The sequence below is a fragment of the Homo sapiens genome, chromosome 2 (assembly GCF_000001405.40).
Source record: "Homo sapiens chromosome 2, GRCh38.p14 Primary Assembly".
Classification (NCBI taxonomy): domain Eukaryota; kingdom Metazoa; phylum Chordata; class Mammalia; order Primates; family Hominidae; genus Homo; species Homo sapiens.
The window spans coordinates 143,989,348-144,005,588 of NC_000002.12; the positions used below are offsets into that span (position 1 = coordinate 143,989,348).

The 16,241-nt window shown below is 37.6% G+C and overlaps 1 protein-coding gene across 63 annotated transcripts in view; it reads right to left on the bottom strand.

Moving 5' to 3' along the window:
• QTMAN (queuosine-tRNA mannosyltransferase) overlaps positions 1 to 16,241 on the bottom strand; it is a 395,002-nt gene that overhangs the window by 51,280 nt on the left and 327,481 nt on the right. The window lies entirely within an intron of this gene.

The window sequence follows — 16,241 nt, forward strand, 5'->3', positions numbered from 1 at the left end:
TTTTATTTAACTCCCAAAGAAGTATGGTCAAGATAAACAGATACTCAAGGAAGCAGGTTTACGTAAGACAGAAAGGGACATACAGGGTAAGTCCCCTTCCCAAAACATCCATCTCCTCCAATCACCAGCCCTCAAATGTCATGGCAGAGAAAGCATGAGTGGTCCTTAAAGAATGAGGATGATTAGGCAGACATGGAGGAGGGACGGCATTGCAGGTAAGGAGCAGAACGTGAATAAACGCACTGAGCTGGGGAAGAAAAAGGTAAACATACCCTCATACTTCCTGGCTGGAGATACCCACACATATACATGCATATATACATATATATACACACACATACACACACGTACACATATATGAATATTTTTCAAGAATTCTTGAGATTTGACTAGAAGAGTGAGATGTGGCTATACTGCAGAGCAGGAGTTGCCAAGTGATGGTCATGTTTCATAATCAGTAAAAGTTCAGTAGGGCTGCATGCCCCTCATGGAGTGGTGGTGCTCTCCAGTTTACCATAGTTCCCATCTAGCCCCCTTCTCTCACTACCAGCCTGGTTCCTGGAAGCCTGTGAATCTATTATCCCTGAATCGATTATCCTTATTCTCAACCCTGTGTGTTGCAAATCTTACAAAACTGTTAAAAATACCAATACACACTGGGTTTCATTTCAGACCAAATGAATCAGAATCTCTCAGTGTGGGGGGCTTGCACATGGGTATTTACTATGTGCAGCCAGGGTTACGCACCACTGTCCTATAAAGTCTTATCTGCTAGATTACGGTAATTCCTTAAAAAAAAAAAAATTCTCCTGCTGACCAGTAGTTCTCAATCCTGGCTGCACAGTAGAGTTGTTCAGGATGTTTTTTAAAAAAGGATGCAAGAGCCTGCTCTCAGAAGTTCTAGTTTAATTGGTATAAGGTAGACAGACATTCTTAATTTGGGAAAAATTCTACATATTAATGGGCAGCCAGGGTTGAGACCACTGATAAAGAGAGTGAAGGCCACAGAAGGACTCTGAACAAAATGACATGAAGAAGGTAATGGGTTGGGATAGTTACCCTAGATATGAATTAGAGGGTGCCAAGGTCAGAGAAGAGAAAATTAGAAGGCTATTAAGTAGTTTAAGTTTGCACTGAGAAAGACTGGAACCAGGAGAATGGGGCATCAGTAGGATGGAAAGAAAAGAATGCATGGGAGAGATGTGAGGATGGCTGTTATTGCTACAGATTAATAAAATTCTCCTGTAATTTCCTAATCTCACACTGGGCTGGTAGCTTCCTTAAGCACCTGACAGAGGCAACCACACATCCCCTCAGGAGAAATCCAGATACAATTCAGGCAGGTCTCAAAGAATTTCCCATGATAAAATTCCAAAAAATATAGGCTCGTGATCAAAATTTAAAAAACACATAGGAAATAAAGTCCCATAAGCAAAGAGAAACAAGGCAGCAGACCCACAAAGCTCTCGAATACTAAAATTATCAAACATGGGATACAAAAGTAGTATGTTTTAAGTGTTTAAAGAAATAAGAGACTAAATATGTAAAGAGCAAGGCACTATTAAAAGTGACCGAAAAGTTCTGAAAAAGTCACAGAAAGAAATTTGAGAAATTTAAAAAAATCATTAAAGTCAAGGGATACAATTAAAAGCAGGTTCAACAAAGCTTAAGAGAGGATTAGTAAACTCAAAGATAAACCTGAAAAAATTATCCAGAATCCAGAATATATTATAAAAAGACATGAAAAATATGAAAAAAAGCTTAAAAATATGATAATAAGAAATATCCAGATCCAGATTCCAAAAGGAGAGAAGAGAGCGAATGAGGCAGAGGAAATACCTGAAGATATTATGGTAAATGTTTTCCAGGATGGATGAAAGATCCAACTTAAAGATTTAAGAAGTCTGACAAATTCCAAGTAAGATTAAAAGAAGTGGATTTCTAAACATTATCACAGTGAAGGTGAAGAACACCAAAGACAAAGACAAGATCTTTAAAGTAGCTAGAGAGAAAACCCTTTTTAAATAACTTCTCGGTGGGGGGTCAGCCCCCCGCCCGGCCAGCTGCCCCGTCCGGGAGGGAGGTGGGGGGGTCAGCCCCCCACCCGGCCAGCCGCCCCGTCCGGGAGGTGAGGGGCGCCTCTGCCCGGCCACCCCTACTGGGAAGTGAGGAGCCCCTCTGCCCGGCCAGCCGCCCCGTCCGGGAGGGAGGTGGGGGGGTCAGCCCCCCGCCCGACCAGCCGCCTCGTCCGGGAGGTGAGGGGCGCCTCTGCCCGGCCGCCCCTACTGGGAAGTGAGGAGCCCCTCTGCCCAGCCAGCCGCCCCGTCTGGGAGGGAGGTGGGGGGTCAGCCCGCCGCCCGGCCAGTCGCCCCGTCCGGGAGGGAGGTGGGGGGGTCAGCCCCCCGCCCCGCCAGCCGCCCCGTCTGGGAGGGAGGTGGGGGGTCAGCCCCCTGCCCGGCCAGCCGCCTCGTCCGGGAGGTGAGGGGCACCTCTGCCCGGCCGCCCCTACTGGGAAGTGAGGAGACCCTCTGCCTGGCCAGCCACCCCGTCCGGGAGGGAGGTGGGGGGGTCAGCCCCCCGCCCGGCCAGCCACCTCTTCCGGGAGGTGAGGGGCGCCTCTGCCCGGCCGCCCCTACTGGGAAGTGAGGAGCCCCTCTGCCCAGCCACCACCCCGTCTGGAAGGTGTGCCCAACAGCTCATTGAGAACGGGCCATGATGACAATGGTGGTTTTGTGGAATAGAAAGCGGGGAAAGGTGGGGAAAAGATTGAGAAATCGGATGGTTGCCGTGTCTGTGTGGAAAGAAGTAGACATGGGAGACTTTTCATTTTGTTCTGTACTAAGAAAAATTCTTCTGCCTGGGGATCCTGTTGATCTGTGACCTTACCCCGCAACCCTGTGCTCTCTGAAACATGTGCTGTGCCCACTCAGGGTTAAATGGATTAAGGGCAGTGCAAGATGTGCTTTGTTAAACAGATGCTTGAAGGCAGCATGCTCGTTAAGAGTCATCACCACTCCCTAATCTCAAGTACCCAGGGACACAAACACTGCGGAAGGCCTCAGGGTCCTCTGCCTAGGAAAACCAGAGACCTTTGTTCACTTGTTTATCTGCTGACCTTCCCTCCACTATTGTCCTATGACCCTGCCAAATCCCCCTCTGTGAGAAACACCCAAGAATGATCAATAAAAAAATAAATAAATAAATAAATAAAAATAAAATAAATAACTTCTCAATAGCAAAACAAAGCTGAGAGACTATAGTCTCAACCTACAGCTATAAACTCAGCAAAAATATACTCAAACAATAACTGGGAGATAAAAGATACTTTCAGATGAGACTGCCACCAACAATCCCTCACTAAAAGCAATTCTTAAGGATGTTCTTCGGGCAGAAGAAAAGGCCTAATATGTAAGAGGCAATCATAACCAAAGAAAGAGGTAGATATGTGGGTAAGTTTGTATATTAAAATCATTTGGGTAATTACTTAAAAAATCAAAATAGTGTTTAAGTTCCAAACAGGAATATGGAATGAAACACACGGTAATTATTTATCAAGAATAGTAATGATTTCCACCTTGAATTCCTAACTGGAAAAAAGAAAAAAATGAAAAGATATTAACAACAACAACAACAGAATAGTAATTACTTATGCATGGTAGATACCTGCAGTGAGTTTTAAAAATTTCTTTATGTGAACTTTTCTGTATTTTTAAAAGCCTTGATAATGAACATTATTAATGTTTATGTGAAAAGTTACTTATTCTATTTCTCCTTCATAACATTTATCACGGCAAATTTTTATTTGATTAATAGGTACTGTAAGCTCCAAGTGAACAGAGACTGTGTGTGTGATTTTTCCTCATCATTACATCTTCAGTGCTTGATTCACTTCCTGATGGTAGTATATACTCAAAAAGTATAAAATGAATGAACGAACAAATGAATAACTTCATAGTGATTGCACATGGTGCTTGCATAAGCTTGAAAAATGGCCCCCCAAAAGACATCTGCATCTTAATCCTTGGAACTCATGAATGTTACCTATTACATGGCAAGCAAAAAAAAAAAGGGGGGGGGACTTTGCAGATATGATTAAGCATCCTGACACAGGGAGATTATCTTCGAACATCTGGGTGGGCCCTCAATCCAATTGCATGTATTCTTATAAGAGGGAAGCACAGGGAGATTTGACACAGACCAAAGAGGAGAAAGCAATGTGACTGGAGGCAGTGAATGGAGTGATGCAGTCACAAACTGCAGATTGATTGGTGGCAGCTATCAGAAACTGAGCCTCTGGAAGGAGTGAGGCCAAGCTAACACCTTGATTTCAGCCTGGGGATACTGAATTCTGACTTCTGGCCTCCAGAACTGTAAGAGAACAAATTTCTGTTGTTTTAGGCTGCCAAGTTGGTGGTAATTTGTTACAGCAGCCATAGGAAGCAAATATAGTGTTCAAGTGAAGAGGAATCAAACAAGGTAATAATTTGGAGCTGAATGTGAGGGAATAAATGTACCACTCATAAACAGGAGTATAAAAGAGTTTAGGGGAAAAAAAGCAGGGGTTTGCATTTAGATGTGTTTTATTTTAGAAAATGGCAAGGACACTGGAAGTATATGGAGGCCATATACCCATCTCTCTTCCTGTACTATGGGCTCCTAAAGGTTATACATTTTATCTTTGAATTCCTGGTAGCTCCCCAACATAGAGCCATTCAATACATGTTTGGGATAACAGGCCAATTAAGATTGACTTTTTATGCTGAAGACACTTGAAAGAATGCCCTATATCAGGTTTATGGATAACAAGGAGATTTTACACATCCAGACTACATTTAATTCTGATTATGGTGGATAATCAAGAGTTGACTATATCTAGTACACAGTACGGTGCCTGGCTTTAGAAGAAGTAGCTCAATAAACATTTTTAAATGAATGAATGAATCTAAGAAAAAATTAGTAGGTATTTAAAATGTGATCTGCCTGTTTTTAAAAAACTTAAACATGTATTTATTAGATAACTCAGTGATTCCACTGCTAGGTATCTAACCCCCCCAAAGTGAAAATATATGTCCACATAAAGACTTATATGCAAATGTACCAAGAGCATTATTCTTAACAGCTAAAAAAGTGAAAACAATCCAAATGTCCATCATATGACAAATGAATAAGCAATAGGTGTTATACCCATATAATGGAATATTATTCAGCATTAGAAAGGAAAGGACTACTGATACCTGCTACAACATGGAAGATCCTCAAAAACACTATTCTAAGTGATAGAAACCAGACGTAAAAGACCACATATTGTATGAATCAATTTACATGAATATTCAGAAAAGGCAAATCTATAGTGAAAGCAAGTAGATTAGTGGTTTCCTGGGTCAGGGGTGAAAACAGGGTTTGACCTTAATAGGGCAGGAGAATTCCTTCTAAGGTGATGGAAATGTTCTAAAACTGGACTGTGGGATAGTTGTGCAACTCTGTAAATTTACTAAAAATCGCTGAATTGTATATTTAAAGTGGGTAAATTTTTTGACATATAAATTATACCCCATTAAAGCTGTTTTTAAAACAGTAATGTGCTTAAAAATATGACAATTATACAGGCAGAAAGTGCTTTTTACCAAATCATATCTTTAAAACTATATCACTCCTGCTAAAATCTTTAGTGAAGGCTCATGGCAGCCATCTTGTTAAAAACGGAAATAATTTGTGATATTTACAGTGTGGGTGCTTGATGTAAGAGCCTCAAAAAAAATTCCATCCAGGTTTAGTAATACTCTAACTAACAATCATAAAAATGTGAAGGGACATTTGGTAGCCTTTTATAGACTTCATTTACAAGGCAGATGCTGCTCCTTAGAAGTGTTTGCTCTGTAGTTTAATTCCATTTTTCTGTACAGTATGTACTTGTTTTGGGTAGGCTGAAAATGAAGATGAAAAAAGATGACTTTATTTAGCTATTTCTTTTCTTTTTTTCTAGGAGAGTTAAGAAAAAATTGATTTTAACCAATAAGAGACAGTGGGCAAAAGTGAGAGTCCCGTGTGAGCTAATGAAGTACTCTATATTATTTGCTACTAAGAATAGCTAATGTTTAGTAAGTGCTTACTCTGTGCCAGGAACTGTGCTAACGCAATTACATATATCATCTTCTTTAATCCTCAGAACAATTCTGTAATGTAGTTAACATTATTCCCATCATATAAAGAAGAAAACTGAAGTTAGAGAGTAGATAACTTGACTGAAGGCACAAGGCTGGTAACTGTGACAGCCAGGACTTACACAGAGACTCAGAACCTACTATGCTATAACTATAACTAGGCTATAATTGCTGCCTATAGAATTAGTAGAAATATAATGTTTAAAATCAGGAAGCTTAAAATATATTTTAAACCTGTTTTAAAGGAATTGTACATATCTACGCTGATAACTCCCAAATTTCTGTCTTTAGTGTTGACTGCTCATCTAAATAACAGACTTGAATATCAGCTTCCAACTTGAAATCTCCACGTGTCTAGAAGATCTCTAACTTAGTATGTCCAAATGCAAACTTTAAAAATCGAACTCCCCAAGTGTTCTCCATCTCAGTAAACAGCACCTTCATTTATCCACTTACTCAGGCCAAAATCTTCAAAATATATCCTGACCACTTATGATCACCACTGCTACTACCCCAGTCAAACCACCACTATATTGTCTGGATTATAATAGCAGCTTTCCACATCCACTAAGGTAGGTTCACTACATTAAATGGGTTAAAAAAATGTAAAAGGCTCATGTAAGAGTACTAGGCAGGTGGGGAGATCAGAAGGGCAGTCCTCTTCCACATAGCTGTTTAAGGTCCCAAGCCAAAGGAGAAACTGTCATCTTCAACAAGTGCATTCTATGTCTGTCCAGCGAGGAGGAAGAAAGAACATGGGAGAAAGTGGGTGAGAAATTCTTATGGACCAGGCCTGGAAGTGGCCCACATCACTTTTTTCTATTACATTTATTGGCTAAGAACCAGTCACGCAGCCACCCCAAGCAAACAGCAATACAGGCTGGAAAATGTGGTCTGTGTTCCTAAGAAAAAGAGAGAAATTTGGGGGGATAGCTAACAGTTTCTTCCATATCTCCTCATGCTAGGACTCTGGCTCTTGGGCAATGATTCTGAAACTGGGGAAACAATTTCTCCATTAAAACTGTTCTTGTTAAAATCAAGAATTGACTATGGTAGGTGAAGAGGGGCAGTTACATAAGGCTCACGTCTAATTTTAGACTGGAAACAAATGCTTCTCTAAGGAAGGTGAGTGGTGCCACCTAATACAGTAATTTTCTGCCAAGTTTGAGGGTAAGTGGCAATATATATGATACTAACAGAGGTTTACTAGAGTTGCATTTTCTAAGGAAGTATCAGAGGGCCTGGTTTCACTTATATAACAGGACAATGATTTTTGAGGGGTGAAAACATATACACCGAACCACTAATCAGTTAAAGGAGAGTTGCACATTTCTTTTGGTGGGGAAAGAAATGACAAGAGTTCCATACTAAGTCTCTGGGGTCAATCAATTAATTTTACATGATTAGGAATAGTTTATATAGCATGTAGGTGGAGGGAGGAAAATTTTAATGATTTAGTTTTTCAGTTGAAGAGACACAGTATTTTAGGGGATGAAGTTGGTAAGAGCACCTTTTTGCTTTTGTTCATGTTTACAAAGTTACCACAAGTGAAAAAACTGGTAAGAAGTGGTTTCAATGGAGGCAGTACAGTAATGAAGATAAAACAGGATTCTGGGCAATAAATCTTTTTCTACTCTGTAAATACCCCCCTTTCAACATAAAGGCTCTTTAAAGAAGTAAGAAAACAAAGCTTTCAGAAGGGGCTTGATACATTATTTATGAACTTATCAAGTGAAAAAAGCACCCACTCAGACATTTTAATAAAAACTTTCAACGAATGTATCTAATTTTATTGGTATTTTTAAAAGCCAATTATGAAGTGGAAAGTTATTGTTTGTTAAACTGCTATACGGCTTTCTGCAAATAGAATGTTTACAAATCACTTGGAATCACTTTTCCAAAGTTTCAGTTTCTGAAGGTCAAATAACTATGTAACTGCTTAATAAAGAAGCAAAGAAATACCTCTAAATGTCTCTCAGCTCTGATGGGCTTATACTCCGCTCCTTAGGTGAGGTATTAGCAAAGCTTATTTATTTTCATTTCCAAGGCTTTTATTTGCTCATTCCCTTGTGGTAAAGCTGATTTCCATGATGATTCCCTTCTTAATTTTAATACCCTTTTTACTCATCATATAGACATAAGAATTTTCCATAAAATAATGAAATCCTTGCAAAGGAAATGAAGACAACTCAGAGAGTAAAGTAAACTAGCTCTTTTTTCAATTAATTGATCCACTGTCATGTGCATATAAGATTTTTTTAAACCTAGGAAAATAAGGTTAATTAACATAAAAAAGCCTCACTCATCTAGATGCTGAATTTTGTATTTTACCCATGCTACCTTAAGTGCCTTGATTTCCCAGTAATGACCTAGTTCTCCTAATGAGGAACATTAACCCCTGGCTGTAGCTGTCCAGGACTTAATTGTCAACTGCAGCTGAAATAGGGGAGTTTGCCGATCAGCAGGTATGCGGTATATCAACTCATGTCATTTCAACCCCTAATAAATAAATCTGTTGCTAAGGCAACAGGAAGATCAGCTATATCAGTATTCTTCCCTCCCTGTAACCAGCTCCCCACCGCCTCTTTTGGAGGAAACTGCCTTTCACACCAAGCTTAAGAAAAAAGAAGGAAATTAACTACATGTAACCATAATTAGAAGTAACATCAATTCTCATCTCAGAAACATATCTAAATTAATAAAAAAGGACAGCAAAAAGAGAAATGCTTTTGACTAAGATCACAATAAATTATTTCCTTCAACAGGACACAGGGACTATGAGTATACATCTGAGTAAGAACAAACCTTAAACATTTTGTTTCTCTGTTTCTGAATTTTCCCTTCTTTTGTTTAACCAACAAATGATGCTAGGCCAAATAATGCTGAAATAGCTAATGAGTTGCATAGCCAATAAAGACGACAGAAGGGGGGGGAAAGCTTACATAATTTGTAGTAGTTACTGCTGTGCTACCTTGGAATTTTTTGGTATGACTGACCGAGTAAAAAAAAAAAAAATAAATGAAAACCTTCCTGGGTAATCTAGAAAAGCTATTGGATCTCATTCACTTAGGATTTCACATAAGAGTTTAAAAAGTGATTTCAATGGATTGTTTCAAAACGACTTAACACCTGGATTATGGTGGAGGGGTAGGTTAAAAAATAATCTACAGGGATCTTCACTTCTGGATTTATTTTTCCATAATAACTTAGAAATTACTTTGGTTTTAACCAGTTTGAGCTTTTCTTCCTAACCATTACCACTCTTCTGTTAAAATGCATTATTCTATTTTAACAAAATCTTGAAGGCTTTGTATTTACAACGCCTATAAATGCATTTCATAAAAGAAAACAAACCAAGAAACCATAGGCTTTGTAAAAGCAATGCTGATCACATGACCGTGTCTATCTGTCATTCGATAAACTGAATTCTTCCCACGAAGAGAGACATAACCTCAACTGGACTTACTGAGCAGGTGAAGGTCAATTACCAAACAGTCACCCTATAATTCATTAACATTAAGTAACATTGACTAAGTACCCCTAATTGCCAGGCACTCTGGTTAGATGCATGGAAAAAATTCCCCCTAAACAAAAAAGTTTCTGTCTCTGTCCTGAAAAACCTTAGAACCTAAAACAAATGCCACCATTGAAAACATGAAATGAGTAGGGCTAGGAGGCATGTGGAAAGTGCAAAGTTCTGTTACATGTTTATGTGGTACACTGCACCGCACAGTGCCTTCGGTGCGTGGACATTCACAGTCAGGGGGATTAACACTTCACCAGAATTTAAATCAGGGAAGATGTCTGTGGAAGGCAGAGGACTACAAGGCATCACTAGAGAAATATAATGATGACTACCATCATGGAAAGGCAGGTAACACCACACATTAAGAGAAACAGGAGGAATATTAGCCTTAAAAAAAAAAGTAGAAAGGAGTAGGCTAATTAAAGAGAAGTTAGGTCTACTAGGATGGTGTGGAAAAAGGCTTAGTGACCGGAAAGGAGAAATATATTTAAATTCACACACAATCATGTATATAACATAAAAATATATAGCAAAGAAACAGATGATCTACCAATCCACCTATCCACCTGTCCATCCATCCATTCATCCCTCCATCCATATCACCTAGCTATCTACTTCCCAACTCACCCACCCCTGACTATGATGTTAAGTGAAGTCCACTGTAAGAATCTGATCAAAAGAATGGTGACAGAGGATGCAAAGGCAGATGTGGGTCCTGAGCAGTTGAAGATGACTGTCATAAGCATACCATAATGAAACAGCGTCTTTTGCAACAATTAGTATGTTTACAAAACAAATCATGCTTAGTGAACTTTTTAACCATGTTGGGCAGGAAAAGGGCAACAAGAGCTTTAGTTTATGATATTCTATTATAACAGTACCAAGATTGTGACTGCTATAGGTAGAAGTTCTTTATGCTGACATGGTGTGTTAAAATGTTAAAAACAATCCAAGAGGCAATGAGAAACTAAATGTTGAATCTATATTTATTTTCCATATGTTCAATGATTTGGAAAACAGTCAACAAGGCACCAAAAATGGAATTTTGGAAATCATAAATGGGATTCTGGTGAGGCTCTTTCTTTGGCCATGGATTTCTTAGTATCTATTTTCTTACCACTAATTCAAAATCCTGAAATAGATTCCCATAGATTAATCTAATAGTGCTATGTCAGAGGATAAAATAAAACTGTAAGTCATATAGCACATGGTAATTTTAGCCAGATATTTGATTATAATTTTTCCCTAAAATTCTAGTAAAATTCTTTAGAGAGCTTTTTGTTTTTTAAATGTCAGAATTCATTTTCTTTAAAGACAAAATTCTTTAAAGACAAAAACCAACCAAACAAACTAACCAACAAATTTCCCCAAACACTCTAGGCATGAAAAATGTAACTAAAGAAAACTTATCACCAAATTGAGAATGACTATAAATAATTAGAACCTTATTATTTCATGTGAGCTTTGACTAATTGATGGATAAACACAGAACTGGTTGAATGATCCCTTTCAAAGAGCTATTGGTCATTATTCCTACTCAATCTGAGAACTAGCTACTTACAATAATTATAAGGAATATTTGTCTTATAACCTTATAAGGGTTACTTAACTGTGAAAACGAATAGTGCTAATGGAAAGCATCTATGGAATCATCTTTTTTAGAGATCAGAACACGTAAGATGGATTCTCACAGGCATGAGGAAGTTTTGGTGGAGTATGCTGAAAAGCAGATGGCCAGAGCACGTGAACATCTTTTCCAGAACCATTATTCTGTGACGATCATTCTTCTCTTAGAAAAACAGATTTACACATAACATTGAAATAGAACAAAGAACATTAGTGTCCAAAAATTAGCACTTTGCCCTTCTGTTCACAGCCTAGCATGGCACCTGAAGACTGATTTCCAAAAGTACTATTCACCCCACACCATCCTCTGTCCTTCCCAAAGTATTCTATTATAAGGTAATGACCAGTAAAGGCTGAAAGATTTAAGATGGCTTACTCACCATACTTTTCCTAAGTTATTTCAGCAATGAGAAAACAAAGGTAAGTTTATTCTGACCTGAAAAGCATATCATTCTAATCATCCAAAACACATCTTTTCAGAAGACTAGTCATTGATTGTGTTTTTGAAGTTATATTTTTAAACCTCAGAGAGTCAAAGGGTGAAACAGAGTAATTTATTTTAGTACCAAGTAATAAAGCATAATTTTCCATTTTATATCAATCATATATTTTGTTAGAAATTGCCAAAGTTTCTTGAAATATAGATGTCAAAGTCGTTCAATCTTATGGTACATGTTTTACTTCAGTGACTCACCTAAGTATGTTTCAAAACTGCTTTTAGTTCTCAATGATTGGACTTTTTCCTTTCTGAATTCACACTCTTTATATCAACTTTGCATAAGCTGATTTATCATTATTTTATGGAAAATGCTGCAAATACCGTATAGCTCATAAAAAGTCATTCTACTTTAAGTGAAGAGCTTTGATAATTTCCCTATATCCCAAATGATGAGGTCATGGTAGAACTTATAACTGTAGCTACTCTAATAATTTCAAACTTTTTAACATGCCTCATGGCCCACTCCTTATTCTTCTTAACAAGAATGCATCCAATTATGGGCCAATTACAGGGGTTTTATGATCAGAGCAGAATTTCTTATATCATAGATCTGTATCCTAGGGCTTCCTAGCTACTTAGCCCATGTTGAGGCAAATTGTGTTTGGTCTGAGAGAGTTGACTTATATAAGATAAACACTTGTTCACTGTCAAGTTTTAAGCCAAAAAAAAAAAATTAATATTCAGGGGAAAAAAATTTAGTCTATGAGAACTACAAATTAGGCAATTCCAATGGCTGGTGGCAGCCATATTTACCTACGTCACATCGATTCCATTTGACAGTAGTTTTCAAAGAGTAGTCTGAATTCCTGGGTGTATTCAAGACTTTTTCAAGGAGGCTGCAAAGTAAAACTATTTTCATAAGGATAACTAAAGATGTAATTTGCCTTTTTCACTGTGTTGACATAGGCCCTGATAGTGCAAGAACAATGGTGAATAAAGCTGCTGTTGCCTTAACACAATTCAAGGCAATGGCACAAACAAGTCTGTTTTACTTAAGCATGTCATTGAAGAAGCAGTAAAATTTATTAATTTTATTTAAGTTCATCCCCTCGATAGATATCTTTTAATAATCTGTGTAATAAAATGAGAAACACACATGCATACCAAGATACAATAGCTGTCCTGAGGAAAAGTATTTGTATGCTTGTTTGAGTTGTAAGCTAAACTAGTTGTCTTTTCATGAAACAGTGAGTTTATTTCAAAGAACAACTGACAGATAAACCACAGTTAATCAGACTTCACTATTTGGCAGACATTTTCTCAAACATGAACCATGTGAACTTGTCACTCAAGGAGAAACAAGTGATAATATTTGTTGCAAAGATAAATTTAAGCTTTTAAGGGAACATTAGAATTTTGAAAAATTGCATTTAAAATCTTAGCTTGACAGCTTCTCATTATTCAAAAATGTCTATGAGATCAATGGTGATATTAACAAATATGATTTTTTAAAATTGTATAATGAACTGTGTCAACATTTAGAAGATCTTCAATTTGGTGAACCTGTGTTTCCCAAATCACCAATGCATGATGCTACAAAATCCATTCAAACTGCAGGTAATGGAGCATGAAGAAATCATTTATGTGGTTTCATATTCCACATTACAGCAAACCTTTAAGGAACTCCTACTTGTCAAGTTTTGGTATAGTATCAAAGAAGAATATCTACAATAATCTGAAGAAATCATTAAACATTCAACTTTTCCAGCTATATTTCTTTGTGAGGCAGAATTTCTTCATAAACTTCTACCAAAAGAAGATATTGCAACAAATTAAACACTTAAGCAGTTATAAGAATCCAAATATCTTCTACTTAGACATTATAGATTTTTTAAAATGTAATGTTGCTATTCTCACTGATTTTTTTGGGAGAATATAGTTAATTTTCATAAAAATACATTATTTATGTTAACATATATTTGGTTCTTTGTTATTTTAAAGGCTATAATGTAGATTTTAAAACTTTTTCCTCAGTTTTAATTTCTAATACAGTAAACATTGATAGGTATAATCCCAACAAACAAGAGCTCTTTGGTATCCCAATAATTTTTAAGAGTATGAAGGAGTCTTGAGACCAAAGAGTTTGAGAACTGTGGCCTTGAGAGAGTGATCTTTCAATATAGTCTAAACTTGTTTTTTTTGGTCCTTCCAGCAGTGTGTCTTTTATGCCCTTTATAATAATTATTAGAGAATGCTTACATAAAGGTTGGAACCTGGATTAATATTACAACATTTGTATAGTATTTGGAAAGAAAATAGTTAAAAAAAAAAAAACCAAGCAGTGCCAATTGCAGCCTGTTTTTTACAGGTCTTTCTCTATAAGTTATTTCTACTAACCGTGCCTTGCTATAGATGTTTATAACAAAACATTAAAGACTGGGTAGAAAGGAGAAAACAAATTACTCTGCAGAGAACCCAGCAACTCTGCTAAAATACTGTCAGTTATTTATCTACTGTCAGCAGATGTTGCACACTATAATCCTTGACAAGCTCAGTTTGAGAAAGAATGAGGAGAGGGGCAAGCATTGCATTTAAGGGCCTGTTCTCATGCACAGACATTTTAACACAGATTTAAAGCCAGAATGTGTCTTCTAGAAAATGTCACTTTTGATTTTGATACATATTCTAGCAAGTAGGCTCTACATTTGGTTGGCTTAGTACGAGATATGTTAGAGGCTGACACTATATTTTAGACCATTCATGATCCCAGTGTGGAACTAACACAATGAGGTCAGCATCACTTCATTTTTAGAGTTGGCTACTGCAACTGCATGATTTCATGGGCATATTTTTTTATGATAGAGGAGGGTTTTATTTTTGTTTTGTTAGGCAAGGTAATGACAAGATCTAAGAATCCAAATTGCCCTCTCCAGTGTTCCTTTCTCCTTTAGGTTTACATGGAAACAATCATCAATGCCTTCTCTCTGGTAAAGATACATGGCCAAGGTGAAAATGCAACAGACTTCCTGCTTCTAAAGAGCTTCCTGCAGGCTACTGTAAAGAAAACCCCCCTTTTCAAGCAGGGAGTTAAAGCAGCTCAAAATACTGACAAGAATATGTAAAGTACAAGGATGGGGGAGGCTCAAACTAAGGGGGTTGAACAAGAAACACAACCCTGGTCATTTGTAGTAGAAACCATAGTTTCCTTCTGAATACCATTCATTTTGACTGGTCAATTATACGATTTCCACCCATACGATCAGGGGTCTAAATAAATGTGTGCTTGTAGCTGGGGATGTTTGATGAATGCTGAACCAGAATCTTAATTTTCTAATTCATATTCACCAATTAAAAATAAACTGTATTTTTATGAGCAAATTTACATAAATCAGATGATAAAGCATCTACCACTAAAGGGTAGGAGTTCAGCTCACAACATTTGCATAAATTCTCCTAAAGAAAATATAGGCGTTTTAGATTTTCATTGAAGAGTCTTGCTGCGATGGAACTCTAATGGGCTTAGAACAGTAAATTTTGAAGAAACTGATTGCTACCCCTGTAGCTAGTAAATGTCTGCCTAGACCCAGTGGCATTTGAAAAAAGTGTTTTATCATAAAATTATCCCAGCAGAGTCCATTCTGCAAGATAACATCATCATCATCATCATCAGTACTCCATGCAGGACCCAACAGCTCTGGCACAATATTGCCAGTCATTTATCTGTTGTCAGCACAGGTTACACACTGTAATCCTTGACTGCCTCGGAATTAGAATGTCTTTGATGTCCCCACAAGAGTTTTTTGCCCGAAGGCTTTACCAATGCTCGGCGGCTCAGTGTTTATTCCTCGTAATCTTCCTCTCATCTCCAGGCTAGCAGTGACAGATGGTTATGGGCACACAATAGTATTAAGAGTTTGATATTTTTTTTATGCTGTGCTCTCTGTACAACAAATAGCTATCAGACGCGGGCCAGAGAGCTGACATGGCTCGCTTAGGTAATGGCAAACAAACAGCTCGGGTTGATGCTTTCTGTCATTTCCCCTCCTAACCCTGCTTGTTTTCATTGTATACTCTCAAAGGTAAACTATATTAACCTTATAGACTGTTATTAAAAAGATATATCTATATGAGCATAAAGTGCTTTTCTTTTCTCTTTTTCTTACTCTTTTGATTATGAAAGTAATACTCCTGACATATTGAACAAATATCGAATGTCAACATAAATTTTTAGTGTGTGATAATATCCCCCTTCATATAGCTGTGTGTCAGGCGGGAACCTGCGGATGATGCATAGCAGTAAATAACCCAAACAAAATTAGTTCTCTTGTCAGCTTCTACCTTGTATGTCCCCAGGCATCAGTAAAATTGACTGCACGCTAGATTTTCAAAATTAGCCCTAATGTTAGCTATGTGTCTGGCAACCTCCAAGTTTCCAATGTTCTACTATATTACCCGTAAGGATGAATGTGTTACTTTTATATTTTGGCAT